The 22,640-nt window shown below is 42.2% G+C and overlaps 1 protein-coding gene and 1 non-coding gene across 3 annotated transcripts in view; both read right to left on the reverse strand.

Moving 5' to 3' along the window:
* Nucleotides 1-21,660, reverse strand: part of AIM2 (absent in melanoma 2) — a 92,082-nt gene extending 70,422 nt beyond the window's left edge. For both annotated transcript variants that reach the window (XR_007064924.1, XM_047434809.1), the window contains exons 1-2: nucleotides 21,538-21,660; nucleotides 6,771-6,884 (exon numbers count right to left, since the gene is read on the reverse strand). The gene's annotated coding sequence lies outside the window, so the exon portion shown is untranslated. The remainder of the gene's footprint in view (nucleotides 1-6,770; nucleotides 6,885-21,537) is intronic.
* TRR-TCT4-1 (tRNA-Arg (anticodon TCT) 4-1) lies at nucleotides 16,139-16,212 on the reverse strand. The gene has a single exon. It is a non-coding gene; the product is annotated as a tRNA-Arg (tRNA).
* Nucleotides 21,661-22,640: the final 980 nt, after the last annotated feature.

Consider the following 22,640-nt stretch of genomic DNA (forward strand, 5'->3'; position numbering starts at 1 on the left):
TGAGACAGGGTAAGTCACTTGTTAAGCGCCACATGGTTATAAATGACAATACAAAGAATTAGAGGGCCACGGAAAGCCAGAGAGAGAGAGAACAGATGAATTTAGACAGATGTGGCTTTGACTGTCAAATCTGCTACTTAGAAGCTATGAAATTTTGTCCAAGTTACTCACTTCTCTGAGCCTTAGTTTTCCCATTTCTAATGTGGGAATAATATCTACTTTTCATGGATTTTGTGAAGATTAGAGGCTGTTTTTCTAATGTGAATGGTTCATGGCTGACCCTTTAGAGAAAAAGAGGAGAGAGGAAGGTGTTTAAGTAAAAAGTGCTTACTCCAGGAAATGCAGGGGTAAGGTCGGCCTGTGTGTCAAGGCATCAGAATTTCAGGTAGAGTTACATCCAGATTTCCATGACCTTTGTGGACAAGAGATTAGAAAACATGCAGTTCTCACAGTCACTCCTACTGTGACTATAAGAATTCATGGCTACAAAAAACACTTCCATTCTAGGGCCAGGAATTCTGAGCAAAACATTTGCAAGTCAGTCCACTCCAATCTATTGCTTGATGGCCATTCTAGACCCTCGAAAGCTGTGTGCAAAGGAATGTTCCTTCATTTCTGCCTCTAACTTGAATCTCTTGTTTTCTGACATTCTCAGCTTCTCAAAAGCCTTCTGAACACATTCATGTGATGAGAGCTATTTCCTGTCTGAGAATGGAAGTCAGGGAAGGACGAAGGAAAATGCAAGACTAAACTGCCACTGGCCTGGGAGTCTCCACCCATTTCCTGCACTGTGGCCACTGCTATAGGTAGTTACCAGGTAATATCTCTTCCTCCAGTTTGCAAAGTCTCTGGTATTATCAGTTATGAAAATGTAATCTAAAATTGATAGAATAGGCCGGGCACGGTGGTTCACGCCTGTAATCCCAGCACTTTGGGAGGCTGAGGGGGGCGGATCACGAGGTCAGGAGATCGAGACCATCCTGGCTAACACGGTGAAACCCTGTCTCTACTAAAAATACAAAAAAAATTAGCTGGGTATGGTGGCGGGTGCCTGTAGTCCCAGCTACTCGAGAGGCTGAGGCAGGAGAATGGCGTGAACCTGGGAGGCGAAGCTTGCAGTGAGCCGAAATGGCACCACTGCACTCCAGCCTGGGTGACAGAGCGAGACTACGTCTCAAAAAAAAAAAAAAAAAAATTGATAGAATTACTTTGGAAAGCAAGAAAGCATACCCTGGTGAAACCGAACAGGAATATAAACTATGACTCAGCAATCCAATTCCCAAGTGTATAATCTGAAATTGCTTGCTCTAGGAGATATAAGATTATTCCAACAGCATTGTTTATAATAGACAAAAAACCTGGAAAAAAACTGCATGTCCATCAAAGGCAGAATGCATTAATACATTGTGTTATACTCACACCATGGAGCATTATCCATTAATGAACATAAACTGTTGTATATTCAAGAACATGGACAAACCTCAAAACACAATGGTAAAGGGGCCAAAAACAACTCATATAAGAATATGTTTCCACTTACATAAAGTTTAAAAAGCAAAACAAAGTAATATATTATTTGGGGATAGCTATATGTGAAATAAAACTATAAACAAGCCAGGGGATGATTGGTTACCTACCCCTAGGGACTGAGAAAGAATGCAATTGATGAGGTTCACCCGAGAGTCTTCAAAGAACTAGTGATGTTCTCATTTTAAGCTGACTGGTAGGATCCTGAGTGTTTATTTTATTATTGTGATTATACTTTCTAAATGGTTCATATACATTCCATATACCCTAGGGTATGTATAATTTATTTCACAATAAAAAATTAATGTAACCCAAATGTGCACGGGGCCCTTAGGGTCGCCTCTGCTCTCACGCCACACTATCTTGAGTCAAGTAACAGATCAGTGTCGGCCCTGACTAGTGTTATGGTCTGAATGTCTGTGTCCCCACAAAATTCCTATGTTGAAATCCCAATCCCAATGTGATGGCATGGGGCCATTGGGAGGCAAAGTCTCTGGTATTATCAGTAATGAAAACACAATCTAAAATGGATAGTATCACTTTGGGAAGCAAGAAAGAATACCTTGGTGAAGCTGATCAGAAATGTAATCTATGACGCAGCAAAACTATTCCCTGTTGGGATCCTTAATGGGATCCCTAATGGGATTTCATAAGTGCTCTTATGAAAGAGGGACAAGGAAGTTTGTTCCTTGTTTCCACCACATGAGGACATAGCCATCTATGGGTCAGCAAGTGGGCCCTCACCACACACTGTATCTGCCTTGACCTTGGACTTCCCAAGGCTGGATTTCTCATAGCCTCCAGAACTGTGAGAAATAAATTTCTGTTGTTTATAAACCACCAGGTCTGTGGCACTTTGTTGTAGCAGCCCTTTCCCTGGAGTATTCATCTCCCTACTTCTCATGTCACCAACTGAAAGTGCCTTCTTTTTCATCTTAACCAAAGTTAGTCTGCCCATCAGTCTCTGCTGCAATCTCTTAATCTGTTCCCTTCATAACAAACTCATTACAAACTGCAACAACTTTGTTTACTTGTTTCTGTTTCTTTTCTTTTTGTCAGTCTCTCCTAGTAGAACACATGCCTCTGGAGAGTCAGGACTTTGTATGTCTTGTTTATTGCAACCTCCCCATCTCTCAGCACAGTGCTTAGTATAAAATAGTTGCCAGATATGGTGATAGGAGTGTGATAATAAAAAATGTATCATAAACCCACAATAAAATAATTGCTTTGTTATAAATTGTCATCTTATGTGCCAAGGCTTACACACACACACACACACACACACACACACCACCCCAAGCCCTGCCATTTTTCTGCATGACTCTGGGGTTACACGAGTGGCCTGTCCAGAATCCCGTCCTCTCTTTCCTTTGAGTTTTCTATCTCCATTAAACTTCTATTTGCCTTTACTGCAACCACTAATCCAGATTTTTTTGTGTGTTTAAAGTAATAAATATTCTGTACTTGGAGAATGGCCTAGTATCGTTATAGCGAGTTCACTCAGTTACTCCCACTCTTTTGACTGCTTTTGACCAAGCCAGTAGTCCTCTATCCGACTTCTTCACCTCTATGGCCTTCCATGGAAAGCCACTTGCCAGTATCCTAACCCCCTCTGCCTTTGTCCTTCCTTCCCTCCCACACCCCCTCTTTCCAGGATCTAGATACTTTAACTCTCAGCTTCCTCAGTGTTTGCACCCGGGCTGCTAATCATTGCTAGGGAAAATCACACAACTATAAATTCATGACAATAAACTTCATCTGGTTCTCCACACTGCTCCACAAACTACATTTCCTAGTCAGCTCACTCTTCATATTTTAATAATGATACTTCAAGATTTCTTCACTCCCCTTATATGTTTGATCCCTCTACATTGGGACACATTCTCAGCAAATAACCCACATTGTTACCTCACAGAAATTATCAAGTCCACTTGTCAGAAACTCATCCAATCTCCTAACTGCAGTGGATTGAACAGTGGACCCCAAAAAGACATGCCCAGGTTTTAACATTTAAAACCTATGAATGTGACCTCATTTGTAAAAAGCATCTTGCAGATGTAATTAATGTAAGGATCTTGAGATGAGATCATTGTAGATTTAGGGCGGGCCTGGAATCCAATGGCAGGCATCCTTACAGAGAAATGCAGAGAGAGATCTGAGACACAGAAAAGATGGCCAGGTAAAGACAGAGGCAGAGTTTGGAAGTATGCAGACCCAAGCTAAGAAGCTTGTTCAGAGGAGTGAAAATCTGCTTACATCTTGACCTTGATTTTGGACTTCTGGGTTCCAAAACTTTGACAGAATAAATCTCTGTAATTTCTGAGGCACCCAGTTTGGGGAAATTTGTTATGGCATCTCTAGAAAATTCATGATGCTAACTAAGCTGACAACTGCATTTGTACCTGCTCTATCCACCTTCTCTTCAGTTACAGTACTAAGGGTTGAGTCTACAGCCAGGTTGTGAACCCAACAATAGGACACTGTGGTTAATGGTGCAAGTCTCAAGCTAGATTGACTGGGTATCAATGCTGTCTCCACCACTTACTATGTGATGTTGGTTACTCAGAGTACCATTCTATGCCTCAGTTTCCTTATCTCAAAAAAACAGGATAACAATAAAAAGTACCTCTGTAGGAGAGGCTGTGTAGGAATTAAATGGAATCATGCCCTCAGAACAGTTACTGAATAAGAGGGGAACAACTTTCATTACTACTATTATCATTATCTCTGACTGCCTCCTCAAATACTAAACTATCTATTGATTACTCCTCTCTCTTGTTCCTTCAATGTTTGTCTTTATGAGATAACTTCCATGAGCATTTAAACATTCACTACCATTCCCTGTCAAACAAACCACTCCCTAAACCACACACTTCTCCCTCCAGCTCCCATCCCATCCACTAACTCCATTTCACAACAAATGTTTTAATTGTATACACTCCTTGCTTCTCCTTCCTCACTTCTCACTCACTTGGGAACTCACTAATGTCCACTTCTGTCACTCCACTGAAGCTTCCCTTGACAACCCATGTATTACCAAATCCTAAAGGAAACGTCGGCCCTTATCAGCAACATTTGACACTATGGCTCGTGCACCCTTTTTTAAAAGCATCTGTTCATTGATTCTGGCCCCAGCCCTCCTAGTTTTCTTCCTGCCTATCTGGCCAGTCTCATTTGCTCGCTTCTACCTCCTCTGATGATTCCTTAAATGATGGGTTCCTCAGGGCTTCTTCTTAGCCATTCTTCTTTTCTTATTTTACCTTCTATGAGATATTGACCACTCCCAAGACATCAATTTACTCACAACAGACTGATCATTCCTAACTTGTATTTCTGACCTAGATTTCTCTTCACAGTTCCAGGCTCATATATCTAGCTGCCCATTAGACATATCTACTGGTACATATTTGACACCTCAAATTCAACATGTCTAAAGTGGAAATACTCATCTTCCCTGGCCTTTTTGAGAATCTACTTCCACTACCTATCCCCTTTCTCATTAAAAGGCACTTCCATTCACTCATTTGCTCAAGCCAGAAAGCCGGGAATCATCCTGGGCTCTCCTTTTCCCTTTGCCTCTTACAGCTGATTTCCACTGAGTCTTATTCATTTGATATATTAAATGACCCTCAGTTTTATCCTCTTCTCTCTCTTTCTCTCCACTTCTCTAATACAAGCCAACACCATATCACATATACCCTCAAACTGTCTCCAACCTAGCTTCCCTTCAGTCTTTCTCCAAATTCTTCTGGAATAATCTTTTCAAACTGTATTCCAAACTATAAATCTAAGCCTGGTCACCACACACACACACACACACACACACACACACACACACACACACGCACGCACTCTTCAAATCTGTCATTGGCTGGTATTTTCTCTTAGGATAAAATCCTAACTCCTTAAGAAGGTTTATCAGTTCCTCCACAATCTGGCTCTCGGCATTAGATGTCAGTCTCACAGACTGCCTGGAGTGCTTTTTTTCTCTCCTTCCTTCACAGCTTAATGCCACTTCTTCCAGGAAGCCCTGATGATCCTCCAGCTTCCAGATGTTCCATGGTGTTCTCTGTACTTCCCCTAAGAGTGAACCCTCCATAATGTGTTGGGATGACCTAATCAATGTCTGTCTTCCACACTCCAGAGCAAGCAGTTTAAGACCCAGAACCATGCCTGTCTTATTCCCAATGCATCTCCAGTGCCTCTCAAAGTTCCGGACCCACAGCAGGCACTTCATAAAGACTGGATGAGTAGATGAACTAATGCTATTTTCCTTGGGGAATGATTCGGTACACTTTATACTGTGTTTCTCTAAATTCTGTGTGTATCATGACTGAATTTGTGCATATATATATGTATATGTATACATATGTGTGTGTATACATATATAATGATCATAATTAAGAGTTTTTGAATTACAGGAGAAGTAATTAGAATAATTTATCTCTGAACTTTGTCATACAGTACATTTGAAGGAAAGAAATTATTTAATGAAAATCTAGAAATTGGGAGCAGTTTAGTAGCGTGATGCAAGGATCTTAGAGGAAAAGTTTTAAAGGACACTATACTCAGGTTAAGACAAGACTATTTAAAAAAATAATTTGTAGCAGATTAGATTCCTTAGAGATCAGCTTGGAAACTATGAAGACATATTCATTTCAGTTGGAGAACCTAGAGGAGAATAACTTGGGATAGAAAGTGGGCGGACAACAAAATCCAAATTTTAGGAGACTGTTCAATAATACTGCTCAATCTACACAGTTGGATCATCTGTACTTTAAACACCTTTAACAGATAATCTATTTCTTATTAATGGTATTTCAGATAAAAGTCTGAAATTTTATTTCTCTTCTTGAATATATAGATCATGGATGAGATTTACAGACAACACATGCATTTAAACAGGCAAGACGTGGTATTTCACCAAAAGACCAAAATCAAGTCGGGAAAGAACGTATTTTAATGTTCCTGCTTTGACCCCAAAATACAGAAAATAAAATAGTATCTGAAAAACATGAAACTCAAACTTCATGGGGGCAAATGCTGTGTGTGCAAAATCACTGACTTGCCAGGCGTGGTGGCTCACGCCTGTAATCCCAGCACTTTGGGAGGCTGAGTCAGGTGGATCAACTGAAGTCAGGAGTTCAAGACCATCCTGGCCAACATGGTGAAACTCCATCTCTACTAGAAATACCAAAAAAAAAAAAAAAAAAAAGAAAATAGCTGGGAGTGGTGGCGGGTACCTGTAATCCCAGCTACTCAGGAGGCTGAGGCAGGATAATCACTTGAACCCGGGAGGCGGAGGTTGTAGTCAGTGGAGATTGCAGTGAGCGGAGATTGCGCCATCGTACTCCAGCCTGGACAACAAGAACAAAACTCTGTCTCAAAGAAAAAAAAATGACTTTACCAAGAAAAAAGATATTTTATTTAGAGTTTGCATTGGAAAAGCTGGCTGGTGACATTGTGCAAGCCTCCCAGCAGGTGGCGCCCTGAACCAATGAATGTGAAAAAGAACGGACTCAGACACACCCACATTTCAAGAATTAAAATCATCTCTTTTGCGATATATATATTCTGACCATACATTCAGTAGATTGTGGAATCCATATACCCTTGCCCTCTGTACAACACACATATACACATGCGTGTGGACACATTCCTCCACCAGAGAATAGAGTAACACCCTGTATTATGACGGCAAACATTGGCGAGCTGGACATACAAATTAAATAGACACCTATTAATATATGTATGTGAATTGCATCTGTTTATAAGAGGCAGTCCAGTACCTCCAAATGGGTCCTTAACACCGCCTAGTAAATATTCTGCATTTCTCTGCTATATTATTATCATCCTCTCACTCTCCACAGTAACTAATCCAAATTTCTCTGTTGTTTTCAAACATCCAACACCTTCTCTTTTTCTCAGTTATTCTCTGTTCAAGACATGGCTACTTACTTTAAAAGAAGAAGGATAGCCACTGTCATCAGATGGAATTTCCTCATCTTCCAGATATCAACATGCAAATCTTCATCTAAACATCTACCTTCTTTCCTTCCAAGGGTCACGGAGGAGCTGGCCCTCCAGCTACCCACTGCTAATGCCTTCTCTGGCACTCTGATCCCCTATCACATTCCCAAAAACCTTGGCTTCTATTTATGTACTTGCTCTTGTTCTCTCTCTCTCTCTCTCTTTCTCTCTCTCTTAATGATTTCCTTCCCAATAGCTTTCACAGAAACTCAAGTATCTCCCACTAAAAAAACAATTAAGATGTGTGGAACTACAGATACAAGTTTGGTCACGAGTTGATCACTGTTGAAACTGAGTGGTGGGTAAATGAGGATTCATAATGCTATTCTCTCTCATTTTATTTATGTTGGAGAGTTACCATAACGAAAAGTTTTAAAGTAAGGGAAAAAAAGATATTTTTGTTTGACTCCTCATAGCTTCCTCACCACCCTCTCTTCATGTCTTCATGCCCACACTTCTAAAAGTTGCCTATATGCATTCTTTGTTTCCTTACCTCCCACTCCCTCTGCAACTCCCTCCATCTGCTTTTTTTACCTAACACTCCAGAGAAATTAAAACAGCTATCACCCTTGACTTCCATGTCACATAATCTAGTGGATACATTTTAGTTATCATCACTACTGACTTCTCAGCAGCATAGGATACTCAAACAAGTTTCTTCTTATATACTTCTTTCCCTGGGCTTCAGAAATTATAATATTCTGCTTTTTCTTCTACCTCTCCCCACTACTTCTCCGACTCCTCTTACTCTGTTATTAAATGCTGAAGTTCCTCTTAGCTCATTCTTAGGCCCTTTCTCTTCTCACCCTGTACTTTTTCCTATGTGATCTTATTCATACTCTTGGCATTAAATTCCACCAACATGCATATGACTTCCAAAATTAAATCAGCAGTTCAGACCTGACCTGACTCTCACCTTCATACGTGTGTGACATCTCCTCTACTATATCTCAAAAGCACCTCAAAATTAGAAGCTCCAAACTGAACTCACCATTTTCTCCCCCAAACTTGGCCTTCTTCAAGTGTTTCTGATCTTAGCGAATGGTGTGCAAACCAGAAATCTTAGAGCCTTTCTTGTCAACTCTTTCCCCTTTGTACCATTTCTAATCCATCAACAAATCCTGCATGTTTTAGCTCATAAATACTTCTAAAACCCTTTTTCTTCTATATCTACCATTACCACCACCAGCACCATTATCACCCCCTTAATCCTGGCTAATATTGCTTTTCACAACAACCTCTGGTGGTAACTTCTAATTTAGCTCAAGCATCTATCCTGGCAGCCTTCCACTCTGTCCTCTGAGCAGCAGCTGGAGTAATCTTTCCAAAATGCAAATCCAATCATGTTATTCTTTGGCTTAAAATCTTTCAGTGGTTTTCCATTGTTTTTAGGATAAGGAGAGAAAAAGCTTACAGGGAATACAAGGCCCTTTGGGGCCTTGTCTCTCCAATTTCACTTCATGCGGCCTTCTCCCTCACTCTCTATTGTGAAACCAAACTCGCTTTACAGTCCTTCATCCGGCCGAGTGCGGTGGCTCACACCTGTAATCCCATCACTTTGGGAGGCGGAGGCGGGTGGATTACCTGAGGTCAGGAGTTCAAGACCAGCCTGGACAACAGGGTGAAACCCGGTCTCTACTAAAAATACAAAAATTAGCTGGGCATGGTGGCAGATGCCTGTAATCCCAGTTACTCGGGAGGCTGAGGCAGGAGAATCACTTGAGCCCGAGAGGCGGAGGTTGCAGTGAGCTGAGATCGCGACATTGCACTCCAGCCTGGGAAACGGGGCAAGACTCTGTTGAAAAAAAGAAAGAAAGAAAAAAAGCCCTTCATGCACGGCATTCTCCCTCCCTCTACAAAAGCTTCATTTATGCTGTCTCTTTATAGAAAGCCCTTTCCTTCATTCTTTGCCTAGTTATTTCCTTATCTTTCAGATTCAAGTCAAGAGACACTTCCTGGGGGAAGCTGTCCTTGATCTTCCTGAAGAGGTCAACTCTCCCAGCCACAGAACTTCTTTGCTCCATGGATCTCTCCTTCATTTACCATTGCAGCTTTACATGTTTTTCTGTGATCACCTCTGTCTCATTTGTTCATCATTGTACCTCGCTCAGTTCTTAGCACACAGCAGGTACTATAAGCATTTGTTGAGTGAGTAAATGAATTAATGATTATTATTCATTCAACTCTGTCAGTTTTCCCTCTATTTAACCTGTCTCTAGATTACTTTCACCTTCATCTCTGAGTGGATAATCAGGGACTACCCCTCATTTTTAATATTAATATAGTTCTGTGCTTTTATAATTTATGCATGCCAGGATCCCATATGTGGGGCATGCCAGGCATCACTTTTACTCTAATATTTGGAGCCAGATTATTATTTTTGTATTTTAAAAATGCAGACATAATGAAATAGAACCCTAAATCTAGAATGTAGCATAAAGTCTACGACTTCAGAGAAATGCTGTGCTTAGTACAGGCCACTTGAGGCCCGGCTTCCTGAACCTGGAAGTAAGCCATCACTCTCCTCAGCCATTAGAGACATGCTTAAGCACAAACCTTAAAAAGCACCGTTAGAAGTTTATACATAATAGAAAATTTTTTTAAGTTTCATGCTCCCTCAAAATAATATAACTTGTTCTAAGCAGTCGGATATTTTGGATGGTACCATTTCCTTATTTAAAAGTGGTCTATAGATGTAGCAAAGGAAGACAAGTTATCAGCAATTGTTAGTGATTGCCAGAAGATGCTCCCTTCAGATTCAGGACTGAGCTGGGTCCACAGCAAGGAATTCACCCAGAAAAAGATTTGTCCTGGAATACAACAGCCAAGCCCTCGTCTCCTGTCTCTTCCCAGCTCCCCAGGCATTTGTTTTTAGTCTAATTCCATCTCTGTAGACACCAACCTGCCTTCTCAAAATAGACACACTCGCCCTCATCCCAGGCTTTAAAGCCCGGCATTGCCCCACGCAGAGAAGTCCTAACACGACCCTTTCCACGGGGACTAGAATCTGAGGATTGTTGTAGGACTTCTCTGCTCGTAGCCCTAGAGAAAAATCTAGGCCTTTTACAGTGATCACTATGGGCAGAACGTACTCTTGGAGGGTAACTACTATTTAAAATACATTATGCATGTCTTGACTTCCACTAGGACTCCGCTTGAAGAAGAAGATGGTTAGAAACATGGGCCACAGATAAAATCTCTCAAGTCCTCACGCACAGCCTCCAAGAAACTAGCTTGATCCATACAATCTGAAGGTTTAGAAAGAATAACTACAAACAAGGAGGTTAGCATTTGTGTTTGCACCTCCTATGTATCTACCTCGACAATTTTACAGCTTACCCTATTTAATTCTAGGTATTAGTTAGATCATTTACTAGATGAGAAAATCAAGGGACTTAGACTTAGTGCATGTCTACATTCATACAAGTAAATAGCGAGACCTCAGATTCAGACTCAGATCTGTGTCATTACCATGAAGTTGCTGCTTCTACTATGCTCATGGTTATCAACTTCCCTTATCATAATACGCCATTTCTCACCATTCATTCTCTCAAAAGAATCATCACTGAACAATATTACCACCATGGAAGCAAAGAGATCCAACTAACTTCCAAGGAGCACATAGTTCAAAGATATTCTATTCCATTATAATTTATAGCAAGTACTAAGGACATAAACACTGCAATCATGTTTTCTGGGATAAGGTCTATTTGCTACAGCTTTACATATAAGCAAAATGAACATTTTTACCATTAGGTAATAACTATTGTAATGACAATAAATAAAAATAACTAGTTTAAAAATAAGTGATCTCGGCCAGGTAAGCTCTCCAGAGATGATAAATCACTTTTGTAGGTGGACTGTTACAAAACCCTCCACCTCTGGTGGTACAGCACTACGGCTTGGGAATCACCGTGCCACAGCTTGCTGCTTCTAAAGGCTTTGGGCCCAGGAGACCTCTAAACCTGCCTACATATCTGACTCTATTCTCTACCTGTCTATTCTATCTCTGTCTGTTCTCTACCAACAGATAAAATTTGCCTTTTAACATAGAAACCAGAACCTCCACTCAAACTCATCAGTGGTGCTCACTAACATTTAGAAAAGCCTCACCTCCAAGCCTTATGTCAGTGATTGCCAGTGGCACTAGAATTGCCCCTCAGAAGTGGTTTGAAAATTTGATGGAATAGTTTTTGTTGTTATAATGATTGGGGGCCACGGTTAGCTGTAGAGAGGAAGAGCATGCTGGACTTAAGAGTCCCAGAATGTGTAAGGGCATCTCTCACAAAGAGGAATTGACCCATGATGTATACTCCTGAATGACCTATTAAAACCTACGTGCTGGGGCTGGGCGTGGTGGCTCACACCTGTAATCCCAGCACTTTGGGAGGCTGAGGCGGGTGGATCACTTGATCTAAGGAGTTCAAGACCAGCCTGGCCAACATGGTGAAACCCCATCTCTACTAAAAATACAAAAATTAGCCGGGCATGTTGGTGCGCGTCTGTACTCCCAGCTACTCAGGAGGCTGAGGCAGGAGAATGGCTTGAACCCAGGAGGTGGAGGTTGCAGTGAGCTGAGATCATGCCACTGCACTCCAGCCTGGGTGACAGAGCGAGACTCCATCTCAAACAAACGAACAAAAATAAAACCTATGTGTTGGTATCTGAGCTTAGAGTCTAACTTGTTTTTATATGTTAGAGAGTTTTCTGCATGATTTAAAACTTCCTAAATTTTCCAGGAATGCAAAGTACTGCGCATTTTGCAAGAAGACTTACTTTGCTTTGATCAAAAATGTATCCAAAAGTGTTCACCAGTCTGGAAAACCAGGACGCTGCTGGTGAACGACATCCCTCATGAGATTTAAGTCAGCAGTGCAGCATGCCTGCACTGGTCTGCATATGTAGCTGTTGCGTTCAGGGTGGGTCTTCATATAGGTGCAAGGGTGCTGGTATGGCATTTATGTACTAAAATGTATACTATTTATTATAAGTTTATTTCTTTTTATTCCTCTCTTACATTACAATTAGGGTATTATATTGATTAGTTTTCATTATGGGCATGGGAAAGTTATGTTATCTATGAATTTCATTGCAGGTTAGTAGAGAAGAATTGAAGAAATAATGGACCTAACAAGGCAGAGTTGGATGTCATAGGGTTGAGAACATTGTCCTAGATGGTGTGCCCTGTATCAAACTCTAATCCCAACTCTTCCCATCACTCCCTCCCACTCCACCACACTGACCTGTCAGCTTTCCAATCAGGCTGGTGCCCACATCAGAGTCTCTGCTCTTGCTGTTTCTCTGTTTGAAATGCCCATCCCCTAAATCTCATTGCCCTCACTTCACTCAGGTCTTCACTCAAAAGCCACCTCCTCTGAGAGGTCTTCCACAACCATCATTCATCACATCACTCTCCATCCCCAAGCATCCTTTAAATTCCTCCATAGTACATATCACTACCTAAAATGCTATTAGCTATTATAATATTTATTTACCTGTCTGTCATTTGTCTTCATCATGGGAATATGTATTCCATGAAGAAGGTGGAATCTACTATTTTGGTGCCTGGAATAATGGGAAGTGGCATGAAGTGGGTGCTTGATGAATATTTGTTAAATAAGTGAATTAATGCCTGAAGATACTGTCTGTGCTCCTGCTCCCTGGAAGCTAGGAGTAATCTCTTTCTCTTTCCTATCTATATAATTTATAGTCAATTGAAGTCAGCATTAATTCTTTCAAATATATCCATCAAATGCCTACCATATTTCAGGCACTGAGAATACAATAATAAATAACACATATCCTGCCCGCATACTTTTCAATTAATGATCAGCTCCAGCATCTCTGAAGTATTTGAGTCCTACAGTGAAGTGACTTCATAAAAAACACACCCATTTCTATTTTACATTCTGAGTATCTTTAAAATACAGTAATTATGATATTCATAAATTAGGAGATATCCCTTATGTATTCAGAAGAAAATTGTTATCACACACAGAAGAATTTTTACTCATGTGGAAAATCTTTTCCCCAGTCCTGGTGATATCCTTCAAGTCTCCAAAACACCACCCCTCAGGATGAAGAGAGTTGAAGGCTAGGCAATAGTTAAATAAGCAGAAGCTTCTAGTTCCCTTGAGTGGGGTAGCCAGGAGGACCCTCTACCTACTTGGCTGAGATAAAGTCTCCTATCTAAGGCACAGAGGGACCACATGCTCTCTGAAGGATCCTGCCAGCTAGAAAACTCCAATCAGACCTCTTAGGGTAGCACAGGGTGGCATCTGCCCCTGCTGATGACACACAGCCACCCTGGATGTTCCAGGCAGGGGCTGAGCATTCAGACCCTTTCCTTTCCCTATTTTGTGTCCAGGTACCCTCCCCGTATGCTTAGGAGAAAGACAAAAGCAACTTGAAAACTAACATAGCCTCTATATTTGCACAGTGCTGTACAACAAACTTTTCATCCATTTTTTACACTTGTAGGAAAGACAATATACTCTTTTTTTTAATACATAAGCAAATTAAAGTGCAGATGTTCGGCAACTTGGCAAAGCTGCTTCTTATACCGAGGTCTTCTGATTCCAAGATAGGGAATAGAAATGACAAGACAAAATCAGGCTTGGGGAATTATCTGTGGATTTTAATTCTCACAGGTATAGAGCTTCACATAAAGAGCTGGCTCTATCAAATTCTGATCAAACATTTAAACAAATCCCAACACACTGTCTATTTGGGCACACATACCCGCCCTGTTTCCACCTCATCCCCAGCCCTCACAATTCCATGAAGTCTGATCATTATTTCCAGAAAGACTCTAGAAATGAGCAAACCATCGAGTGGGCCCTTGCCCCGAATTTTAACAGTGATATAGAAATAATATCCTTACCTTCTCGGAATTCTCATGGTTAAGCACCTCCATTACCATGCTATGATGGAGGGAGAATCAGGAAGATGTATGCAGTATTCTAGACTATGGTGGAAAAATGTGACATACCCCTTTCCTGAACTCCCTTCCCCTTCCCCTTCCCCCACCACTACCACACACTAATGTTTCCTTTCAGGCGAGGGCTTAAAGCAAAAATATCTAGGATAGGCTGAGTTAACAATAAACAAAAGGCTCCAGGAAAGAATGCCCAGGAACTTCTGGTCCACACCATGTCCTCCAAAGGGCATATCTATGGGACCAGTGGGAGAGAGATAACATCTGAATTGGCCTTCCACCAAGGTAACCCAGAAATGTAAAGCTATGTTAGCTCTTACTAGAAGAATTTTAAGTCTTTAAAGTACCATACTACTTCAAGAGAATTTCAAAAGTTTCCATTTGCTATAAACATGCACACATGGAAGCAGCAAACATCAATCTCCCTCCAGGGTCCTCCTATCTACACTGTCAATTCCCCTTACCTTTTGGCATGGCTGCTTTAAACTCCTCTGTGGACTTTCCCGCCTCCCCCACCTCAGCTTCCTTAGAGTGCAAGTGCACAGCTGTGTCCTCTGGTCGCCCGTCCAGAGTCCCGCATGGGAGAGATGCTGAGTCTCCCCAGCAGTCCTGGGACACGTATCTTCTCAGGTTTCCTGGGTTCACCTGAGGTGGAGGTCGGTTCCTGGCAGGGGCAGCTCCCTCTAGCTAATAAGCTAGAGGTAGCAATATGCAAGGGAGAGAGCCAGACCAGCCCAAAATAGAAATCCAAGCTACATCACACAATCTGACCAAGCTCCCAATCTGGCTAAATGTGGCCCATTAGACAAGACAAGGAGACAGCAAAAATGAACGCGGGAGGAGAGAGGTGGTGAGAACATGGCTTTTTGAAAATCAGGAATTATGGAAATAACATTCAGATACAACACTTGAAGTCTGTCCTACAAACAGAAAGGGGTACAAACTTTTCACAGTAAATAGCATTTAAGTATAAAACCTTCGAGTTTCTGGGGACAAGCTCATCCAGCTTGCTGCTGGTAATTAGTGTGTTGCTCTGTGGTTTATTCCACTGAGACAAAGAGCAATGATTACATTTCACCTGACAGATCAGAAAGTGAGTGATGAGCTTGAGCGCAAAAAGCCTCAGGAATGAAAAAGTGTAGCTGACAGACAGTGCAAGAAACTACCCTCTGCATGACCGTGTCAGGCAGAGACATCCTGACATCCACCAAATGATAACCCTGGTCAAGGAAGGTGTTACCTCAGAGGACAGTTGGACATTTTCTCATTGGCATATGGGACAATCTGCCTTTTTGTGGTCTCAGAGGTCAAAGGAGGGAATCAGAGTGGTTCCAAAACCTGTGACTTTCCGTCTTGGTCACTATGTGCCAATTATCTAACTGTGAAGTAAAGGATTCAAATGCTATGTCAGTCGGGCTGAACAGAGAGAAGCAGCAGACATCTGAGCCTCTACTAGACAATGAAAATCTGTAAGAGAGGAATACAGAAAGAATGAAGAGGGAGGGGACACAAAAAGAGAGAAGGTCCAGGATTCTCAAGGAAAAGGGTTTCCTTTCTCTCCCCTATAGCCTCCAGGGAGGAGTAAATATAATTATCAACCTAGCATGACAGTAGTCAAAATAAAAGAGGCACCTGCCAGGTGACCATCTCTGCCGGGACTCGAACCCGGAACCTCTGGATTAGAAGTCCAGCGCGCTCGTCCATTGCGCCACAGAGACCTCACCACACACACAGCATCAGCACCAGAACTGAAAAAGCACATACCTTCTGCATCACCGAGCCATCTCAGCATCCTGCTCTCTGAGCGGTGGGGGGGGACAGGGACAGCTGGAAAATCTGGAGTGGAGATCCACCAGCCGGCTTCATCAAAGCTTTTCTCAATACTCTGGGTCCGATGGTCCCCAGAGGATTGGGGGAATGTGACAGCAGTCAATTTCCCAGACTCAGAATCCCTGATGGAACAGGACAGAACTAGAGCCTTTGCTCTCCTTTCCTCTCCATCCCTTAGGGATGATACGAAAATCTCTCGATTCTCATGCTAATTAAGCAGAGTGCACCCAACCCTGCAGAAAACGCAGAAGCCATCTCTACCTCCACCCCCACTCCCTCACTGTGGTTTCATCCCAGTCCAGCTATTCTCAGACAGGGGCTGGGCAACGCTTGGGGATTCAGGAAAACCCTCGATCCCAGAGACAAAGGAGCTGCTTCCGTAAAGGAACACTGTGAACAACGGCAGCAGAGAATGGCAGCTGAGTTCTAAGAGACTGGTCTGGTTCTCAGCAATAAGAACTGTATCTGTCAAGCCCAGGCAAGAGGTACAGGGAGTCTGATGTGATGTTCCTTCAGCATCTTCACTAGAATTAAGCATGGGAGTGAAGAAAAAACAGTGTTCAGTGTGTGTGTTCAGTGTGTAAGTATGTGTGAACGTATATGTGTGAGAGAGTGTGTGTATGAGAGATAGAGGGAGGAAGAGTGGGTGTGTACACATAGGGTTGGAGGGTGAGAGTGGCAGATCTCTGATGAAGTAGATGTCCTCACACAGCCCTCCTGTATCTCTTTCCCCCACCTTGCTCAGCCCGGAATCCCTGACAGCCTTTTTCCCCAGGGCTACCTACTTTGAAGAACAAGGATTTCTCAGCTGTCTGTGCTTTTTACAACTATCCTAGTACAATCAAAGTGACCAACCCTCCATAACCATATATAAAGACCTCTATACCCAGCTCAGATCCAAGAAAATGATTTCTATTTTTAGAAGCCTCTCATAGAAGACAATTCCATAATCACCGTTGTTTATAATTTCCACTGAGCCCATTTTTCTGAATGTCTAATCCAAATCCTTCTTACCTCACTTTCAGCTCATTTTCTCCTATTTGGTTCCCAGACACATGGGAATAATTGGATTCTATGCTCCCGATGACAATGCATTGATTTAAAGACTGATTGTGTTCACCACCCCACTCCTCATCAAAAGGTTACAATAAAAGCAGGGAGCCAACTCAGATATCCCTCCTTCTCCCTCACTGTGTGTCTCCACAGCCCCCAGCTCTGGACACTGCCAGCCAACTCCAATCATACAAGATAGTTATTTCTAACCTGTGAGGCCAGGTGATGGCCAAGTAAAGAAACAATATGACTAAATGAAACAATTAGATTAGAAAACCCTTAAGGGCTTTCCGACTCTAAGAATACAATTACAACATCTCCCACTTCCCTACCCATTCATATAGCCCTAGGAATGAGACATGGCAGAGAACATAACCAAGGCAATTCAGTCAGATCAGGAATATAAGCAAAAGGCTCTTTCTAACACAAGGGGGAAAGCAGCTACTCCAACCAGGCTTGCCTTCCATCTACGACCTAGAGATGGGAGCTCAGAAAAATGAGACTGATTGTGTCTATTATAGACTTGAAACAAGAAGGCACAGAATAGACCTTTCTATCCAGAGACTGTATTACTCTGAGTGGCTAGTAACAAGGTGCTGATGAACGAGTTAGTCAAGGGGACTATATGGTTGTAAAGGGCAGGTTAACAGCACAGGCTAGCAAGGAACCATTCCAGTGTAAGGGAAAGGAAAAGCTAGACTCTCAAGATACTTACTGCCAGGCTCAGTGTGTACACACACACACACACACACACACACACACACACACACACACACACACACTGCTCTTCATAAATATATTGTCCTATATCCAAGAAATCTATCAGCCCCCTGAGTGACGTCCAAAGTATCACTGCTTCTTATAAGATCATGTGTTGTCTACAACCTGAATAAAGAGTCCCAGCTCTCCAACTCCCTCCAGGAGCTTCATTCATTATCTGTAATGTTCCCACTTGCTGCTGGGAATACAATGATGGAGAGATATATCATGGCATGGTTCTACTCTCGAGAATCCCATAGGCAAATTCCAACGTAGGAATGACCCTGAAACATGTATGGGAGAAAAGAAGGAATCAATCTTTTTACTCACCAAATAAAATAACAATTTGCAAGTCCACACAAAGGCTATAACCCTGGGAGCAGAAAGATCCATCTTCATAGGAAGTTGTATAACTTACTTGGTTTGAGACTCTGAGAAAATTGCTTAACTCTGATCTTCCATTTCTTTATTATAAACTAGGGGCACTAACATATGCTACTGATAAAGATCAGCTGAGATTTCATGAGGCAGAGTGTTTGTCCCCTTTCTTCCTCTATTCCATGAGTTAATTCTCAACTCTATTGACTGGATTGCTTCTTTCCCTTTGAATACCCTTCCTTCATCTTCCTCTCACCACTCCACAGACATCTCTTCATTCCAGCAAAAATGCCCCCCACCAACAAGTGTCTCCTTATACTTATAATGTATATCAACAAAAGTACTCTGGACTTTGTCTGAGGACTTTTTTCAAATAAGAGATGTCTCTCTGACATCTCATTTTGCTTTATCATCCATAAAACAGACAAAGCCTCTTGATAGTGTCGATAATGTCTTTAAACTAGGTTTTAATTTAAAATAAGAAGAGAAACAATCAAATAAATCTACAGTTTTAAAGGGCAGGAAGGGTGAAGTCAAGTCACTCAAAATGATTGAAGCCAGTACATCTTTTTCTTCTTTTAAACTGGCTGTATGTCATTCATGTTTACGTAAACTCTCTGGAAGAAAAGTACATTCACCTTCCAAAAAAAAAATCTGTATTGATTTAATTCTCCAAAGATCTGTGACTCAAACATTACTCATACCTCTAATTGAATACCACTTTGTGACCCTACAGACAAACTAGTGATGCTCATACACTATTTCATTCACAAGGTGTTGCTGGGATACATATGATAAATGCCCTTCAAATTTTCCCTTTGGTCCAATTAAATCCTACATCCTACTGTGGTCTTACTTACAGCTTCTCTAAAGGTTCCTATACCAACTAGTCCGTATTTTAAATTCTAAGGGCTATCGCATGGAGTAAGACAGTGAATTTGTCATTCAGATAGCACAGCCCTTACATACTATACTTTCATCTCCCAGGCCCTATGATGCCGTAAACCTTATTAATCCACATCTATTGTGAGCACAACTTCTAGAAGTGTTACCATATACCATCTTCTCATGTTCCTACCTGCTATCAGCTCCCTCTTACTATCTCACCCCTAAGGAGCTAGCCCAGGTCTTTCCTCCTGTGAGTACCTCCCAGGAAGGCTGGAAAAGGTGCTTTGCAATGTCAGGCCTATAGAGTGAGACCTACTGTGCAGATGTTCAGGTCATAACTCCTACCCCTTAAGGAAGGGTAAAATGGACATACATACCCACAATGCAAAAGCCCTTCAGTCCTTTTCCAGACACTTCATCTTCAGGAGGTCTTGCCCCATATTCATTTCTCCATGCCTATTATGCATTTTCTGACCCATCATAATAAAGCATTTATGTTCCCAAGTCTATCTTTCCTCCCTCCTAGCCTGTCAGCCTGACTGCAGATTGTTCCTTTCTCCTCAGTCCCCTTTCTCATACTTGAAGAGGGAAGAAATGAGATAATCCAGGTAACAATTCAGCATGAGAATCAAGCCAAGGAAAGACAAATACGGAGCAAATTATCCTTTCATCATCCCATCCAACTTTCAGAAACCATTCCAAGTCTAGCCCAGTCAAACTGAGCTATTGAGGCCTCTCAAGCCTTTCCAAAAGTAGACCCAGAACCAATCTATCTTAACAATGGGCTGGACCTCCAGGGCTAGTCAAGGTCACAAGAAAGTCCATACAGAGGTCAACTCCCTAAGGGAGTCTGAGAAATGCTGAGAAATCTGGAGGTAGAATCTCCCTTTCCTTATTACCTCCCACCCACCTCTGACAGATTCTCCAGGAAGCCATTTAAAGAGTTCTAGAGGCCAGGCATGGTGGCTTATGCCTGTAATCCCAGCACTTTGGGAGGCCAAGACAGGCAGATCACGAGGTCAAGAGATCAAGGCCATCCTGGCCAATATGGTGAAACCCCATCTCTACTAAAAATATAAAAAGTAGCTGGGCATGGTGGTGCGTGCCTGTAGTCCCAGCTACTCGGGAGGCTGAGGCAGGAGAATCACTTGAACCTGGGAAGTAGAGGTTGCAGTGAAGCAAGATCACGCCACTGCACTCCAGCCTGGTGACAGAGTGAGACACTGTCCCCTCAAAAAAAAAAAAAAAGAATTCTAGAGAGTGTGTCTCTAAGGACATGAAGTATCTCTTTGGTCAAGAAGGATGAGGAAACTAGTAGTGTTCAACAAATGGGAGGGCAGTAGGTTGTCATGTCCCATCAGATCTTTCTGGGAAGTTTGGGGGAAAACTTTCTGCTTCACCCAAACCCAAGAAATAAGATGATTCCTGGTGCTAACTTTCTAGCTCACTCTCCCTTATCCTCCTTAGAATCAGGACCCTCTATCCTGCTGTTTCTAACCCCAAGCCATCACCTGCTTGTGTAGATTCCCAGTCCTGTCTTCTTACATTTTCTTCTTGCCATCCCCATCAATGTCTCCTTCTTCCTTGGGGTATATAACCCTTAGTCATTTCCTGCTTTAAAATGTTCTTCTCACCTCTGTCCACGCCTTTGCTCATTTCTGTCCATTTCACTTTCCCCACTTTCTGCAACTGGCATTCCCTAATACTTTACTGTGTAATCTCTATAATGCCCAATTTATTGGCCAAGTCATTATCTGTTCTCATCTGCCCTAGGATCCATCTACACCAAACACATTGGCCAAACTCATTGTTCCCAGTCTTCCCTAGATTCAGCCCACTGCTCTTCTCTGTCTCTGCCCCCCTTAGCCATCAACCTCAAGGCACTCTGAGCTTCCCAGGCCTCTAAATTCCGCTGTCGTTAAAATCTACTGCTTGGACTTAGAGTCTTTGTTATTGTCAGCCCTTCATCCTCAGGCCTTCTTTTTCTTTTCACCAGATTTCATTCTTCAGACCACTTTACTTGCCCACCATCCTTTTAGTCTTTATCTCATCTCCTTAAATCTTCAACTTGTAGTACCCATCCTTCTAAATCTCCTTCCATCCCATCCATACAGCACCAGATTCCTGAGGCTTACCTGGAAGAACTTGCTGGTCCTTCCTTCTTCCCTACATTCATCTCCAGACGTTCTGGGTTCTGCCTGACTCTACAACACACCTATATTTGTTTTACTTCTTTGCCTGGGACTGCGTGTGCCACTGGCTTTAAAACTGGGAGGCCCTGAATAGGGCCCTGCTAATCCCCATGGCACTGAGTTGCCATGGGAATGGACTGGCAACCGGGCTTCTTAATCTTTAGCCACTATGGGGCCCCTGATCCTTAAAGGGCCAGATACCCTAGGCCAGATGCCAAAGAATTAGAAAAGAGATCCTTAAAGGGTCAAGGATTCTATGATTATAGGCCAAGGGATTCAAGAACATTGCTTTTTGCCTAATATTATAAGTAAATTAGGCTTTTGCTATTTGTCCCCTACTTCAGCCCCACTTCCCATTCAGCCTGGAAAAAGCCTTGAGGGTTACATAGTGAGGCAGACTCCTCGGCAATGGCAAGAGAAGAAAGGTGTTCATCTTTCACAGTCCATCACTTTAATTAAACCAAAGAGCGTGACCATGAAAGTTTCAATCCTAGAGACTAAACTTGTCCTTACACAAGAACCTTACGTCTGACAAATTACAGAAGGGTCTGTACATGGTCCTTATACAGCAGAAGTGGCTCTTTTCAAGTCTGTCCCTGAAGAACATCAAGTCCCCACACGGAAGACAGGGTCCAGGGGAAGCATTTTACCTTGAGTTGGCCAGCTCATCTCCTTCATGTTCTCCTCCTTTAGAAGGTAGTAGCTGAATTTCCAAGGGCTTCTCATGCTACCTATGATTCTAAGAAACAGTATCAATGATAGTAATAATGATAATAAAGATATTTTGAATTGTCTCATTTTATCATCAGAACTTTCCTAGATTGTTGGAAGAGTGATCATCATTATTTTTCTTTTACAAAAGAAGAACCTTAATCAAAGACATTAGGTGGCTTGCCCTAAGTACCTCAGCTTGTAAGAGGTGGGACTAGGGTGAGCTACCATACAGTGTCCTGACTTCTGTGACCTCTACAGGGAGGCCTCAACAGAAGGTGTCTGCTAAGAGGCACCAGCTGCCTTCATTACAATTTGTTCCAGGAAACAAAATT

The sequence above is a fragment of the Homo sapiens genome, chromosome 1, assembly GCF_000001405.40.
Source record: "Homo sapiens chromosome 1, GRCh38.p14 Primary Assembly".
NCBI classification, from domain to species: Eukaryota; Metazoa; Chordata; class Mammalia; order Primates; family Hominidae; genus Homo; species Homo sapiens.